This window comes from Homo sapiens, chromosome 19, assembly GCF_000001405.40.
Source record: "Homo sapiens chromosome 19, GRCh38.p14 Primary Assembly".
NCBI lineage: Eukaryota > Metazoa > Chordata > Mammalia > Primates > Hominidae > Homo > Homo sapiens.
This window is the reverse complement of record NC_000019.10, coordinates 39,513,312-39,529,708: the sequence shown is the minus strand read 5'-3', so window position 1 is coordinate 39,529,708 and position 16,397 is coordinate 39,513,312. Positions and strand designations below refer to the sequence as shown.

The 16,397-nt window shown below is 50.1% G+C and overlaps 1 protein-coding gene across 3 annotated transcripts, besides 2 other annotated features; it reads right to left on the bottom strand.

The window, feature by feature from the left end:
• Window positions 5,013-5,213: a silencer, noted in NCBI's record as "peak3477 fragment used in MPRA reporter construct". NCBI's record gives its function as "represses an SCP1 promoter by STARR-seq MPRAs in K562 erythroleukemia cells {active_cell/tissue: K562}" and the evidence as "EXISTENCE:reporter gene assay evidence [ECO:0000049][PMID:32103011]".
• On the bottom strand, window positions 9,023-14,596 carry SELENOV (selenoprotein V). Of its 3 annotated transcripts, NM_182704.2 has the most exons (6): window positions 13,688-14,570; window positions 11,077-11,101; window positions 10,916-10,969; window positions 10,732-10,806; window positions 10,539-10,638; window positions 9,034-9,563 (listed from the first exon to the last, which is right to left on the bottom strand). In NM_182704.2, the coding sequence occupies exons 1-5, from the start codon at window positions 14,494-14,496 to the stop codon at window positions 10,561-10,563; spliced, it is 1,041 nt and encodes a 346-aa protein (NP_874363.1). In that variant the 5' UTR covers window positions 14,497-14,570; the 3' UTR covers window positions 9,034-9,563; window positions 10,539-10,560. The 3 variants fall into 3 exon arrangements, 2 of the variants coding, with proteins under 2 accessions (NP_001337738.1, NP_874363.1); NM_001350809.1 differs by lacking the exon at window positions 10,732-10,806 and having other exon boundaries at window positions 9,023-9,563; window positions 13,688-14,596; NR_146916.2 differs by lacking the exons at window positions 10,732-10,806; window positions 11,077-11,101 and having other exon boundaries at window positions 13,688-14,286.
• Window positions 9,226-9,520: a silencer, noted in NCBI's record as "tiled region #12203; K562 Repressive DNase matched - State 5:Enh". NCBI's record gives its function as "represses a minimal TATA promoter and a strong SV40 promoter by Sharpr-MPRA in K562 cells {active_cell/tissue: K562}" and the evidence as "EXISTENCE:reporter gene assay evidence [ECO:0000049][PMID:27701403]".
• Window positions 14,597-16,397: the final 1,801 nt, after the last annotated feature.

The following is a 16,397-nucleotide window of genomic DNA, read 5'->3' as shown; positions in this document are numbered from 1 at the left end:
GAACTATCTGTCCATATTCTTATTTTTTATTGGCTTGTAAGTTATGTGTCAGTCACTAAAGAAGTTAGCCCTTTGTGATGACATGGAATATAGTTCACAGCAGTTCAGACTGCTGTGATCCTTTTGCCATGCAGAAAAATGTTGGGTGGGCGTGGTGGCTCACTCCTGTAATCCCAGCACTTTGGGAGGCCGAGGCGGGCGGATCACAAGGTCAGGAGATCGAGACCATCCTGCCTAACACGGCGAAACTCCGTCTCTACTGAAAATACAAAAATTAGCCGGGCGTGGTGGCGGGCGCCTGTAGACCCAGCTATGCAGGAGGCTGAGGCAGGAGAATGGCGTGAACCCGGGAGGCGGAGCTTGCAGTAAGCCTAGATTGAGCCACTGCACTCCAGCCTGGGCGACACAGCCAGACTCCGTCTCAAAAAAAAAAAAAGAGAAAAAAATTTTTAATGTAGCTGTGTATATTCAGTTTATTTCTTTTGCGGTTTCTAGACTTTGAGTCATGGGGCCGGGTGTGGCTCACTCCTGTAATGCCAGCACTTTGGGAGCCCGAGGTGGGCGGATCGCAAGGTCAAGAGATCGAGACCATCCTGGCCAACATGGTGAAACTCATCTCTCCTAAAAATACAAAAATTAGCTGAGCATGGTGGCGCGCACCTGCAATCCCAGCTACTTGGGAGGCTGAGGCAGGAGAATCACTTGCACTCGGGAGGCAGAGGTTGCAGTGAGCCGAGATCATGCCATTGCACTCCAGCCTGGTGACAGAGCGAGACTCCATCTCAAAAAAAAAAAAAAAAAAAAAAAAAAGAAAGGTCTTTGCCACTGCAGGATCATGAAGGAATCTGGTTTTTTGTTTGGTTTTTTTTTTTTTTTTTTTTTTTTGCCTCAGGTTGCACCCTACCTTCCCCCCACACTCATGAATAGTTTTAAGTTTTAAATGTTAACATTACAATTTTTATTCATTTGGAATGTTTTAGGTCCTAGTAGTGCTAGTCCACCCTCATTGCTCTTCTTTTCCAAAGTTTTTCAGGCTGTTCTTTGATTTTTTTTTTCTATTGTGGAACTTTAGGATCATCTTGACTAGTTTCAATTTTTACAAAAGCTGTTAGTATTTTTATATAGGTTGCATTCAATATATATACTGTTGAGTGAGAATTGACATCCTCACGATGTCATCCTATCCAGTAATGTGGTAAGTCTTTTCATTTGTCCCCAGATGTATTTTAAAGTTTCCTTCATATAGGTCTTGCATATTTTTGTTAAAAATATTCCAAGGTTTGTTTGGTTTTCTGTTTGTTGTTTATGGCTATTGTAAATGAGGTTTTATGGTGTGTAAATTTGAATGCTATCTTTTTTTTTTTTTTTTTGGTGCTCTATTAAACTTACTCTATTCTCTTATTGTTTGCAGTAGCTTTTCTTTGGTATACAATCATATCATCTACAAAGAACAATAGTTTTACCTCGTTCTTTTTTTTTTTTTTTTTTTTTTTTTTGAGACAGAGTCTCGCTGTCGCCCAGGCTGGAGTGCAGTGGCACCATCTCGGCTCACTGCAACCTCTGCCCCCCAGGTTCAAGCGATTCTCCTGCCTCAGCCTCCTGAATAGCTGGGATTACAGGCGCCCACCACCACACTCAGCTAATTTCTGTATTTTTAGTAGAGACAGGGCTTCACCATGTTGGCCAGGCTGGTCTGGAACTCCTGACCTCAGGCAATCTGCCCGCCTCAGCCTCCCAAAGTGCTGGGATTACAGGCGTGAGCCAGTGCGCCCAACTGGTAGAGAATGTTGTTAAAGGTCAGATCCGCGTTTGTGGATCTCTTTTCTCCCATGATGTATTCATATGTTTTTTGTTTTTTGTTTGAGACGGAGTTTCACTCTCGTTGCCCAGGCTGGAGTACAATGGCACAACCTCCACTCACCGCAACCTCCACCTCCCAGGTTCCAGCAATTCTCCTGCCTCAGCCTCCTGAGTAGCTGGGATTACAGGCATGCACCACCACACCTGGCTAATTTTGTATTTTTAGTAGAGGCGGGGTTTCACCATGTTGGCTAGGATGGTCTCGAACTCCTGACCTCAGGTGATCCGCCCGCCTTGGCCTCCCAAAGTGCTGGGATTACAGGCATGAGCCACCTCGCCCGGCAGTATATTCATATGTTAAATCATGTTCATAGGTTTTGTAGTAATGGTCCTTGCATTTGAAATGCCCCTCACTTAGACATAATACATTATTCCTTAGTATGATATTGAATTCCATTTTATTTTATGGAATAAAATAAAATTTTATTTAAGATTTTGTATTAGAATTCATAAGTGAAATTAGTTTCTAGTTTATCAACCTTTTCAGTATTTAGATCAACTGTATTTCATATATATCATTTCATATGAAGAGTACAGAAGTATTTTATTTTTTCCCTGCTCTGGAAAAAGCTGGCATTGGAATTATCTGGTTTTTAAAGTTTCACAGATTTTTATTCTGAAAACCATTCAGGGCTAATGCTTTTTGGGAGAGTAGTTCATTGATAATTTTCTTTTTCCTGTGAGATAAAATCAATAGAGTTTGTAGGGTACTTGTCTGAGTATTAGTATTTCTCTACTGACTTAGAATATAGCATTTTCAGGCCAGGTGCTGTGGCTCACGCCTGTAATCCCAGCACTTTGGGAGGCCAAGGCGGGTGAATCACTTGAGGTCAGGAATCCAAGACCAGCCTGGCCAACATGGCGAAGCCCCGTCTCTACTAAAAATACAAAAATTAGCTGGATGTGGTGGGGCACTCCTGTAATCCCTGCTACTCAGGAGGCTGAGGCAGGAAGGATTGCTTGAACCTGGGAGGTGGAGGTTGCAGTGAGCCAAGATCCCACCACTGCACTCCAGCCTGGGTGACAGAGCAAGACTGTCTCAAAAAAAAAAAAAAAAGGCCGGGTCCAGTGGCTCACGCCTGTAATCCCAGCACTTTGGGAGGCCAAGGCAGGCGGATCACCTGAGGTCAGGAGTACGAGACCATCCTGGCCAACATGGTGAAACCCCGCCTCCACTAAAAATACAAAAAATAGCTAGGTGTGGTGGCACGCACCTGTAATCCCTGCTACTCGGGAGGCTGAGGCAGGAGAATCACTTGAACCCGGTAGGTGGAAGTTGCAGTGAACCGAGATCGCACCATTGCACTCCAGCCTGGGTGATGTAGCACTTTCTGGCTTATTTTGCCAGAAAAAAAAAAAAAGAAGTGTGTTTCTTAATTCCTGAAGATGTTCAGATTTTTATGTTTCTTTTGTTACTGATTTCTGACTTAAGTACATAGTGGTCAGAGAATGTGGTTTGAATGACGCAAATTATTTAAAATGTATGGAGGCTTTATGGCACAACACATTGTTACATTTTGTAAATATTTCATTTGTGCAGAAAGGTATTCTCCAATTGTTAGATACAATTATATACATTTGTTCATTAGATCAGGCTTGTGGTTTATGTTCTACACACTCTTCTACATCCTGAATTATTTTTTGTCAGTTTCACCTGTCTCTAATTTAGGTGTATTTGACAATTTCACATTATAATATGATCTATAGTTTTCTCAACTTTTGCTTAATGTATTTTGTTTTTGTTTTGTTTTGTTTTTGAGACGGAGTCTCACTCTGTTGCCCAAGCTGGAGTGCACTGGTGCGATCTCGGCTCACTGCAACCTCCCCCTCCTGGGTTCAAGCGATTCTCCTATCTCAGCCTCCCGAGTAGCTGGGATTACGGGCGCGCACCACCAGGCCCGGCTAATTTTTGTTTGTTTGTTTGTTTGTTTTTTGAGACGGAGTCTTGCAGTGTCACCCAGGCTGGAGTGCAGTGGCGCGATCTCGACTCACGTGCAAGCTCCGCCTCCCAGGTTCACGCCATTCTCCTGCTTCAGCCTCCCAGGTAGCTGGGACTACAGGCGCCCCCCACCACGCCCAGCTAATTTTTTGTATTTTTTTTTATAGTAGAGATGGAGTTTCACCGTGTTAGCCAGGATGGTCTCGATTTCCTGACCTCGTGATCAGCCCGCCTCAGCTTCCCAAAGTGCTGGGATTACAGGCGTGAGCCACCGCGCCCGCCCTGCTGCTTAACGTATTTTGAAGCTGTTAATAGGTACATACAGTTTAGAATTGTACCATCCTCCTGCCCAATTAAAATGTTTATTATTCTGTAGTTACTACTTCATGTCTACGATGCAATTCTGACACTAGGAGTGAATATTCGTCTTCACAGGTTTAAGGACTCAGTCTTCCACAAGGCTGTCCTCACTCCAGACACCAGCCACAAGCTCTGGGGTTCCCAGACCTCCTTACTCCTGACCAACAGGCTACAAATTCAGGGGGTTCCCACTCCTCCTTCAGGGTCAATAATTCACTAGAGTGACTCACAGAACTGGGGAAAGTGCTATGATTTTATAGTTTTATTATAGCAAAAAAAAAAGAAAAAAAAAGATAAAAATCAAGATTAGCCAAGAAAGAAACACACACATGGCGAGGTCTGGGATGGTCCCAGTGCACAGTTTCCACGTCCTCTCCCTGTGGAGGCAGGACACATCAGTTTTCTGGCACATGGATTTGTGGTGATACGCAGAGTATTCCTAGCTGGGAAAGCTATCTGGGCCTGCGTGCACAAAGTTTTTTTGGGGGGTTTTCATTTATTTTTTTTCTGAGACGGAGTCTTGCTCTGTCACCCAGGCTGGGGTGCAATGGCCTTATCTCGGCTTACTTTAACCTCCACCTCCCAGGTTCAAGTGATTCTCCTGCCTCAGCCTCCCGAGTAGCTGTGATTACAGGCATGTGCCACCATGCCCAGCTAATTTTTGTATTTTTAGTAGAGGCGGGGTTTCACCCTGTTGGCCAGGCTGGTCTCCAACGCCTGACCTCAGATGATCCGCCCACCTCAGCCTCCCACAGTACTGGGATTACAGGCATGAGCCACTGCACCCGGCCTATTGGGGTTTTATTATGCAGGCGTGATTGACTGGATCATTGGTCATGGAACTGAAACTCAATCTCCAGCTTCCTTCCCCTCCCAGACTGTCAAGCTGATACCACGTGGCTCAAAGTCCAGCTTTCTCATAAGCTCATGGTGGCCCTTCTGTCACTGACAGCTGCCATTCTGATTCACCTAATTACCATAAACAAGAAGTGGAAGTGCACCGTTAGTCACCTTTTGAGTCTAAACTATCAAATATGGGCCGGTGGTGGCTCACACCTGTAATTCTGGCACTTTGGGAGGCCAAGGCAGGCGGATTGCCTGAAGTCAGGAGTTCGAGACCAGCCTGAGCAACACAGTGAAACCCCATCTGTACTAAAATACAAAAAAAAAAAAAATTAGCTGGGCGTGGCGGCGTGCACCTGTAGTCCCAGCTACTCGGGAGGCTGAGGAAAGAGAATCGCTTGAACTCAGGAGGTGGAGGTTGCAATGAGCCGAGATCGTGCCACCGCACTCCAACCTGGGAAACAGAGTGAGACTCCATTTCCGAAAAAAAAAAAACAAAAAAACTATCAAGTATGGCCCAAGGGGTCCACCATGTTAACGGTGCACCCCTGTCACTTGGGAAATGCCAAGGATTTAAAGAGTCCCTCCCAGCAACTGGACACAAAGGCCAACTAAATTCTCTACTATACGACAATATCTAATACTGTTTTTTACTTTAATGACTTTTATGTTAACGACAATTTTTTTTTCCTTTTTTTTTTTGAGATGAGTCTCGCTTTGTCCCCCAGGCTGGAGGGCAGTGGCGCAATCTCAGCTCACTGCAAGCTCCGCCTCCCGGGTTCATGCCGTTCTCCTGCCTCAGCCTCCGGAGTAGCTGGGACTACAGGTGCCCACCACCACGCCCAGCTAATTTTTTGTATTTCTTTTTTTTAGTAGAGACGGGGTTTCACCATGTTAGTCAGGATGGTCTCGATCTCCTGACCTCATGATCCGCCCATCTCGGCCTCCCAAAGTGCTGGGATTACAAGCGTGAGCCACTGCGCCAGGACTTTTTTTTTTCCTTTATTGAGACAGGGTCTCTCGATCTGTCGCCCAGGCTGGAATGCGGTGGCACAATCATGGCTCAATCATGGCTCACCGCAGCCTCGACCTCCTGGGCTCAAGCAATCCTCCAGCCTCAGCTTCCTGAGTAGCTGGGACTACAAGCGAATGCCACCATGCTGGGCTAATTTTTGTATTTTTTGTAGAGACAGGGTTTCCCTATGTTGCCCAGGCCAGTCTTGAACTCCTGGCCTCAAGTCATCCTCCCGCCTCTGCCTCCCTAAGTGCTAGGATTACAGGTGTAAGCCACCATGCCTGGCTCCTTTTAATTGCTAACTCATGTTCCTCAAAATATTATCTTTGGGAACTACCTGGGAAATGGTTCAGCATCTTCTTAGTTGACTTCTGTTTAATCATAACACATACTTGGGAACATTCCTAACCAGACATTAATTTAGATGAAATTTCAGACTTGTCAGATGGCAGGAATTTAGGTCCCAAATTTGTGTGAGTGCAGGCTTATTAACAGAAGGCTTTCTTTCAATCATTTGCTCACTAACAAGGTGGAGACTGCTAATCACCCCAACTGCCTACCTCTGTGAGAGGGGCATTTTTTCCCAGCCTACCCACTGGAGGGTACTGCCTCCTGGGGTTCCCGGCATCCACATGGTCTCCACTCTGGCATCTCATCCCGCTTGGGCCTTGGGTTCTGTCTTTTCCCTTTACATTTTGAGTCATGCAGGTTCTTGCCATCAAAATTAGCAGATTTCCTCACAGCAAGTACCAACTCCAACACCAACCACTTTTGGATTTATATTTCTGTGAGATTTCTGGACTCCAGGAGTTCCCTTACCTTCCCACCAGCTCAATTTTGCATTAAAAATATTTTTAAAATATTTTAGGCCGGGAGCAGTGGCTCACACCTGTAATCCCAGCACTTTGGGAGGCTGAGGTGGGCGGATCACAAGGTCAGGAGTTGGAGACCAGCCTGGCCAACATGGTGAAACCCCCTCTCTACTAAAGATACAAAAAATTAGCCGGGCGTGGTGGCGGGTGCCTGTAATCCTGGCTACTCTGGAGGCTGAGGTAGGAGAATCACTTGAACCAGGGAGGCAGAGGTTGCAGTGAGCCAAGATCGCACCACTGCATTCCAGCCTGGGTGACAGGGCGAGACTCCGTCTCAAAAAAATAAAAAATAAAAATATTTTATGAGGTATGTTAGGCGTTCTGAACCAGGGTGGTGTCACCAAGTTCATAAAAGTGTGATTAAAGCAAACCCCTGGCCAGGCATGGTGGCTCATGTCTGTAACCCAGCACTTCCGAAGGCCAAGGCAGGTGTATTGCTTGAGCCCAGGAGTTCAAGACCAGCCTGGGCAACATGAGGAGACCCCCGTCTCTACTAAAAATACAAAAATCATTAGCCTGCCTGGTGCAGTGGCTCACGCCTGAAATCCCAGCACTTTGGGAAGCCGAGGCAGACAGATCACGAGGTCAGGAGTTCGAAACCAGCCTGACCAACATGGCGAAACTCCTTCTCTATTAAAAATACAAAAATCAGCCGAGCATGGTGGGGCGCGCCTGTAATCCCAGCTACTCAGGAGGCTGAGGCAGGAGAATGGCTTGAACTCAGGAGGCAGAGGTTGCAGTGATCTGAGATCGCGCCACTGCCCTCCAGCCTGGGGGCAGAGTGAGACTCTGTCTCAAAAAAAAAAAAATCGTTAGCCTGGCATGGTCGCACGTGCCTGTAACCCCAGCTACTTGGGAGGCTGACGTGGGAGCATTGCTTGAGCCCAGGAGTTCAAGGCTGCAGTGAACTGAGATCATGCCACTACGCTCCAGCCTGGGTGACAGAGCGAGACTCTTGTCTCAAAAAAAAAAAACAAATCCCTAACTGTAGGGGGTGGAAAGTATCTTTCACATAGGAAATATCCTCTCATGTTTTATACTGCTTGACACATACAGATTTCACTGAGACAAACCCCATATATGTTTTGGGACTTTCCCCTACCCTCCAGCACTCTGTCTTAGCAGGCATGATAGATAACTTATTTCCTACTCACACCAGCATATCATTTGTATGTACAGGGCCAGCACATTATCCTGTCAGGTGTTGAAAACATCAGGCCTGAGGTGGCTCACGCCTCTAATCCCAGCAGTGAGGCTGAGGTGGGCGGATCACTTGAGGTCAGGCGTTCGAGATCAGCCTGTCCAACATGGCAAAACCCCATCTCTACTAAAAATACAAAAATTAGGTGGGTGTGGTGGTGCATGCCTGTAATCCCAGCTATTCGGGAAGCTGAGGCAGGAGAATTGCTTAAACCCAGGGAGGCAGAGGTTACAGTAAGCCAAGATTGTGCTATTGCACTCCAGCCTGGGTGACAGAGCCAGACTCCATCTCAAAAAACAAACAAAACAGAATTTGTGTTTTCTACTGTGTGAGCCATTGGCAGTCAAGTCTGCTGTGTGAGCCATTGGCAGTCAAGTCTGCTGTTACTAGTAGGCAAAAGCACTCTTAACTGAAATCTACTACTAACTGAAACTTACTAATTCTGTGATAAGCCTTCTGCTAATCCTTTCCCAAGCATAATTTAGTATGTAATTATCACAAAAATTCCACAAGTTAAATAGTGCTATGACGTCTATTTTATGGAGGAGGAAATGGAGGCTCAGAGAGGTGGCGTCCCTTGGTGGTGGTCACACAGCAACTAAGTGGTAAAGTCTGAGCCCCCCCTGCCTTTGCCCTTGACCTCCTGGCATGTGACCACTGACCCCACCATGCCAGGTGCAGAGTACGGAGCCCATAAATGTCCAATGAATGTGAAAATGCCTCTCCTCCAGCCCCAGGTCACAGAGACGCTCCCTACAACACTGGCATTCTAAAACCTATGGGTTTTTTTCCTTTTTTTTTTTTTTCTTGAAACAGGATCTCACTCTGTTGTCCAGGCTGCAATACAGTGGCATAATCATGGCTCACTGCAGCCTCCTGGGCTCAAGCCATCCTCCTGCCTCAGCCTCCCAAATAGCTGGGACCACAGGCACACACCACCACACCTGGCTAATTTTTTATTTTTTGTAGAGTTGGGGTCTCACTATGTTGCGCAGGCTGGAACATAGATCTTACAGGTTTAGAAAGTGGGCCCTGGAGCATAATCGAGTTTGGAGTGTCACGGGTTTGAGTCTGACTGCCATCCCCGTTTCCCTCACAACCCCAGAAAATGCCAATAAGATGGAAGGTTTTCAAAATGTATCTGGAACCAGGGCATGGGAAATGACGAATCCACAAAAGAAACAAACTGCCCTCAGGAGCAAGAGGAGTGGAGGCCAGACAGAGGACTGGAGCTACAGGACTAGCCTTCCAAGCTCCCCTCCCTCCCACCCCTGGGGCCAGAATATCAGGTGACTTCCACAGACCTCAGAGGTGAGTGTGGCGACAGCAGACACAGTCAGACTGGACACAGGGGTGCTGACTCTGCATGTATTCTCCTCTTCCCCTCCCTGAGCTCACCCCAGCCCCAGCCACCATCAGAAAAGGACCTGACTTGGCAACATTTCAGCCCTTCTCATCATCCAGCTGAGACTCCTAAGATGGGAGAGAAAGAAAAGAATTTTAAATAACAATAACAATGACAGCTCCATATAAAAATAAGTGTTTATATAGGGTCTACCATGCCTCAGGCAGTTATACTGTTTCCATGGACTACAATGCCCATTCTAGTTTCCTCACTATTTTTTCTTTTCCTTTTTTTTTTTTTTTTTTTTTTGAGACAGAGTCTCGCTCTGTCGCCCAGGCTGGAGTGCAGTGGCGCCATCTCAGCTCACTGCAAGCTCCGCCTCTCAGGTTCACGCCATTCTCCTGCCTCAGCCTTCTGAGTAGCTGGGACTACAGGCACCCGCCACCACGCCTGGCTAATTTTTTGTATTTTTAGTACAGACAAGGTTTCACCGTGTTAGCCAGGATGGTCTCGATCTCCTGACCTCGTGACCCGCCCGCCTCGGCCTCCCAAAGTGCTGGGATTACAGGGGTGAGCCATCCCGCCCGGCACTTTTTTTTTTTCTTGTAGAGACAGGGTCTTGCTCTGTCACCCAAGCTAGAGTGCAGTGGCCCAGTCAGAGCTCATTGCAGCCTCTAACTCCTGGGCTCAAGCAATCCACCCACCTCAGGCTTTCAAAGGGCTGGGATTACAGGCGTGAGCCACTGTGCCTGGCTAATTTATTTATTTATTTATTTATTTATTATTTTTTGTAGAGACAGAGTCTCATTATGTTGCTCTGGCTGGTCTCGAACTCCTGGGCTCAAGTGATCTGCCATTTTAGCCATCCAAAGTGCTAGACTTGTGCCCTGCCTCCTTGCTATTTTTCAAACTCACTGAACACAGTCCTACCCCAGGGTCTTACAGATGAGGCAACTGAGGCTCAGAAAAGAATGTAGGTGACTTGTCATGATTCTAACAGTGAGAACCGGCTGAGCTAGGATCAGGACTGAGACAGAGCCCTGCCCCATCCTCCTACCCGGCCTCCACCCCTCCCACCGCAGCCTTGGGAGCTCCACGCTCACCTCCAGCTCCACCCCTTGCCGGCTACCTTTTCTTGATTTCCTCATCGATAACGCTCACAATTTTCTGCAGCCTGGACTCGTTCACAAAGCCATCACCCCTCTGGGCACAGAGGGAAGAAAGCACACAGGTCTCCCACCCCCAGGACCTCAGCACCACCCCACCTCCCTGTCCCGGACCTTTACTCAGGATCACCTTCTTGGAATGGACCAGTCTCCCGTTCACAAACACCTCAAACTCCCCTGTAGCCTGGGCAGCTCTGTCCTCCTCCTGGGAGGAAATGGTGAGCGTAGGGGAGGCTAAGCTCTCTCCTCCAAGCCCCTTGGGGATCTCAGATCCCTGACCACCCCCCTCTCCCCCAGGACCCCCACACACTTACAAAGAGTAGGTGATTCGGAAATTGCTGCTCCAGGCTCTTTTTCAGTAGAATGTACTGAGGGGAGGAGATGGGGTCATGGGGTTGCAGGGGAGGGGAAACAGGGACTCCTCCCAGTCTTCCTGCCTCAGGCTCCCCCTACCTCCAAAGCCAAAACTACTCACCCGAAGGCTATAGCTTCAGAGGCCACTGGAGGCCAAGAGCAGGAGGAGAAAGTTAAGAGAGAGACCAGGGAAGACACCGCATCAGTATCTTCCCCAGCTCAGGGCACCCTATGAACACCTGAGTTAGATCATGTTCCTCCCCTGTTCAGAATCCCGAAGTAGTGCCATCTCACGCAGGGGAAAAACCAGTCCTTCCCGTGGCCTGCAAGCCACCACAGGATCTGCCTTCTCACCCCTCTGTCTCCATCTTCTCCCACTTCTCCCCAATTCATTCACCCTGTGCCAGCCACAGAAGCCCCTAGCTCATCTTTCTTTCTCTCTCTCTCTCTTTTTTTTTTGTTTTTTTGTTTTTTTGTTTTTTTGAGACGGAGTCTCGCTCTGTTGCCCAGGCTGGAGTGCAATGGCGCGATCTCAGCTCACTGCAAGCTCCGCCTCCCGGGTTCACGCCATTCTCCTGCCTCAGCCTCCCTAGTAGCTGGGACTATAGGCGCCCACCACCACGCCCGGGTAATTTTTTATATTTTAGTAGAGACCGGGTTTCACCATGTTGGCCAGGATGGTTTTGATTTCCTGACCTCGTGATCCACCCACCTCGGCCTCCCAAAGTGCTGGAATTACAGGCGTGAGCCACCGCGCTGGGCTTTTTTTTTTTTTTTTTTTTTTTTTTTGAGACAGAGTCTTGCTCTGTCGCCCAGGCTGGAGAGCAGTGGTGCGATCTCGGCTCACTGCAACCTTCCACCTCCTGGGTTCTAGCAATTCTCCCACTTCAGCTTCCCAAGTAGCCGGGATTACAGGCATGCACCATCACACCCAGCTAATTTTTGAAATTTTTTATAGAGACAGGGTTTCACCATGTTGCCGTGTTGCCCAGGCTGGTCTTCAACACCTGGCCTCAAGTGATCCACTCACCTTGGCCTCCCAAAGTGCTGGGATTATAGGCCCTGCCCCTAGCTCATCTTTCAATACCCCAGGTATGCCCTGCCTCAGGACCTTTGCACTGGCAGTTCCCTCAGCCAAATGCTCTCCCCACAGCATCCACACAACTCCTTCTCTCCTTCCTTCAGGGCTTCGCTCATATACCCCCTTCTCAGTGAGGCCTTCCTGACCACCCCAGCTAAAACTGCAACCCCCCAAAATGCCTTTTGTTCACAGTACGGATCACCTCCTCACATATGAGATCATTTTCTACAGGTCATATTATTGTTTTTTTGCTTGCCCCTCCACACCAGCCCATGGGAGCCACAAGGACGGGGATCTCGGTCTTGTTCACTGCTGTGTCCCTGATGCCAATAGGACCTGGAACATGGTGGGTGGTGAAGAAGTAGTTGTCGAATGAATACATGAATACACGAATCCATGGAGTCAGAGAAAGAGACAGAAAAGATAAGATGGAGAGAAAGAAAGAGGCCAGAGGTGAGGGAACCGAGATAGGGAGAAGCAGAAACACACAACACTCTGGGAAAGGAAAGACACAGGCTGGGCACGGTGGCTCACACCTGTAATCCCAGATCTTTGGGAGGCTGAGGCAGGAGGACTGCTTGAATGTAGGAGTTCAAGAACAGCCTGGGCAACATAGTGATACTGCCCCCGCACCCCATCCCCGACCCCATCTCTACAACAAAATTTAAAAATTAGGGGCCAGGCGCGGTGGCTCACACCTATAATCCCAGCACTTTGGGAGGCCAAGGTGGGTGGATCACGAGGTCAGAAGATCGAGACCAGCCTGGCCAACATGGTGAAACCCCGTCTCTACTAAAAAAAAATACAAAATTAGCCGGGCGTGGTGGCACATGCCTGTGGTTCCAGCTGTTCGGGAGGCTGAGGCAGGAGAATTGCTTGAACCCGGGAGGCAGAGGTTGCAGTGAGCAGAGGTCGCGCCATTGCACTCCAGCCTGGGCAACAAGAGTGAAACTCCGTCTCAAAAAAAAAAAAAAAAAATTAGGCAGGCATGGTGGTGCACACCTGTAGTCCCAGCTACTCAGGAGGCTGAGGTGGGAAGATCGCTTGAGCCCTGGAGGTCGAGGCTGCAGTGAGCAGTGATTGCACCACTGCACTCCAGCCTGGGCAGTAAAGCAAGACCTGTCCGAAACACAAACAAAAACAAAAGAGAGAGAGAGTGAGGTGGGGAGACAGAGAGACAGAGAGTGGGAGAGACCGCCTGTGGGCAGAGACAGAAGAGGAGGAAGTGAGAGAGAGAGAGAGAGACAAGGGGCCAGAGAGGCTTCCAGGGCAGGAGAGAGGCTGGGAAGGGAAGCCAGAGCCCCTATCATGTGCGGTGTCTTTGGGTTGGTCTTGCTGGGGAGCAAAGTAGATCGATCTGCTCTACTCAGCACCCCATCTCTAGCACAGGCCTGGCACTTGGCCCGCGGGGCACTCAGAAACGAATGAATGAAGCTCAGATCCAAAGCAGGGATTTGAACCTGAAGCTCTCCTGCCCCAAAGAGAATGAGAGACAAGAGCGGGTTTCCAATCTGGGAACTGGAACTCTGGGGCTCTTCCTGAATCCCTCCCCTCGCCCTACCCCAACCCTGACCTCCACGTCCCCGGAGACCCAGCCCCCACTGCCGGCCCTGTCCCCGGGGGTTGGGAGAGGCATGTGTGAGGTCCTCACCAGTAGGTCACTCGAATCAGGACCCTCTTGTCCAGCGCGAAGTTCTCGCTGGAGGAGGGGAAGGTTTCCGTACAATTCTGTAAGGAGATGGCCGACGGGATGGTCCCCAGGATGGGCGAGGGGACAGGACTGGGAATGGGGGGATCCGCCAGCCCGATGGCCGACGGGTCTGCCCTGAAGGTGAAGTCCAGGGTGGGCCCGGGTGAGTTCGCGGCCAGCGGGGTGCGCGTGGGAAGGGGCCCCGGGGCGGGCCCGGCCTCGCTGGAGACCGACGGGATGAGCTTCAGGCTCGGCGCCGGCTCAGGGTCCTCCTCGGGCAACAAAGGCAGCTCCGGAGCAGGTTCCGGGGGCGGATCCAAAGGTAGGGCCGGGGCCAGGTAGGAGTCCAAGACGGGGAGCGCGGCCCGAATCCCTGCCAGGAGCTGGGCTGGGGCTGGGGCTGGGACCCGGACTGGAGGAGTCAGGGTCCGAGCCGGAGTCGGGACCGGAGTTGGGTTCCGGACGGGAACGGGAGTCGGCACCGGAGTAGGGATCCAGGCCGGAGCAGGAGGCGGAACCAGACGGGGGATCCGGGCCAGAGCGGGAGTGGGGACCAGAGTGGGAATCTGGGCTGGAGCAGGAGTCAGGACCAGAGGGGAAGTCCCGGCTGGAGACGGAGTCAGGACTGGAGTCAGGGTCCGGATGGGGGTCCGAGTCCGGACCGGAGTCGGGGTCCGGAGTGGAGTCGGTGTCCGGGTCGGGGTAGAAGCCCGGACTGAGGTTGAAGTCCGCGCCGAGGAGGGGGCTGGGGTCCGCGCCTGGTTATTCATGGGGCCCAGGGGGACCGGGGCAAGCCGGTTGGGGAGTCCCGCCCGCCTTCCCTCTTTGGGCGGGGAGAGCGTCTCCCGCACCGGGTTCTGAGACGCGGCGCGACCACTGGGGGCTCTGTTACACCGAGTTCCACCTGGCCCCCGGGTTCCACCGCGCGACCTCCCGACCTCGCCGAGTAATTCCCGCCCCCTTAACCCCCGACGCCAGGCTGAGAAACACACAGATTGCCCCAGTGCCTCCGCAGCTGTCGGTGACACTCAGGTGTTCAGCATATGTGTACTGAGTGCCTGCTGCGTGCACACTTCTCTGCTGGGTGAATTTGGGGACAGAGCAGGCATCAGGAAAGCCCTGGTCCCTGCCCTCACCAGGCTCCCTGTCCAGTAGGGGACACATACCCATTACCAAAGGGCTACAGCCCAGAGCGTTCAGGGCAGGGATGAGGGAGCCCAGGAGCTGTGGGATCCCAGAATAGGTTCAGTCAGCCTGCTGCAATCAGAGACGGCTCACTAGAAAAGGGGACAACTGACATCTGGAGACTGATGATGAGCACCACGGCAACAGTCTCACTCTGGCCCAGGCTGGAGTGCAGTGGCATGATCTCAGCTCACTGCAACCTCAGCCTTCTGGATTCAAGAGATTCTCCTGCCTCATCCTCCCAAGTAGCTGGAATTACAGGTGCCCGCCACCACACCCAGCTAGTGTTTGTGTTTTCAGTGGAGATGGGGTTTCACTATGTTGGCCAGGCTCGAACTCCTAGCCTCAAGTGACCCACCCGCCTCAGCCTCCCAAACTACTGGGATTACATGCGTGAGCCACTGCGCCCGGCTGAGAGTTCACATTTATTACAGTACTAGGCGCTAAACATTTGCCCACAGCTAGTTAAATGGCAGAGCTGGGATTCAAACTCAACCCGTCAGGCTCCAGCATCCTGGGGCTTAACCACTTTGAGAAGGAATGTCAAGCTGTGAGCTCCTCAAGGATGGGGTCTTGTCCGTCTTGTTTACTGCTGTATTCCCAGCTCCCAGAATAAGATCTGGCATGTAGTAGGTGCTCAATAAATGTTTATGGCATTAATAAAGAGACAAAGGGTTAGCCAGGTAAAGGAGGAGTTAGCTGGAGGCAGCAGGACTAGAGCCCAGACAGTGAGCACAGCAAATATGGCCTTGGAGTAAGGGGCAGGGCCATTAACCAAGGATCTTCTTTTATTTTTTGTAAGCACATCAGACATGTACTTTTTAAAACATTTTTTTATTTTTTGGGAGGACAGGCTGTCACTCTGTCACCCAGGCTGGAGCACAGTGGTGCAATCACAGCTCACTGCAGCCTCGACCTCCTAGGCTCAAGCAATCCTCCCACCTTGGCCTCCCAAAGTTCTGAGACTACAGCATGTGCTGGCCAGTCTTTGGTTGGTTGGTTGGTACGGTAGGGGGTGGAGAGACTTGTTTTCAGTAATTTGAAGGAAGCCAAGAGAGGGGTGTCTGTGTCTAACAGCCTGATGGTTTTACTTCCGAAGCAGAAAAGTGTTCCAGTGTTAGAGACTGATTTAAAAAAAAAAAAAAAAAAAAAAGCCCCTGATGGGGAGCGGTGGCTCACGCCGGTAATTCCAACACTTTGGGAGAGCAAGCCGGTGGATCACCTGAGGTCAGGAGTTCACGATCAGCCTGGCCAACATGGTAAAACCCTGCCTGTAATTGCAGCACTTCTGGAGACCAAACCAAGAGGACTGCTTGAGCCCAGGGGGACTGCTTGAGCCCAGGGGTTCAAGACCAGACTGGACAACATACCAGGAACCCCTCTCTACAAAAAACTTGAAACTTAGCTAGGTATGCTGGTATGCACCCACAGTTCCAGCTACTCAGGAGGCTGAGGCAGGAGGATCACTTGAGCCCAGAAGACTGAG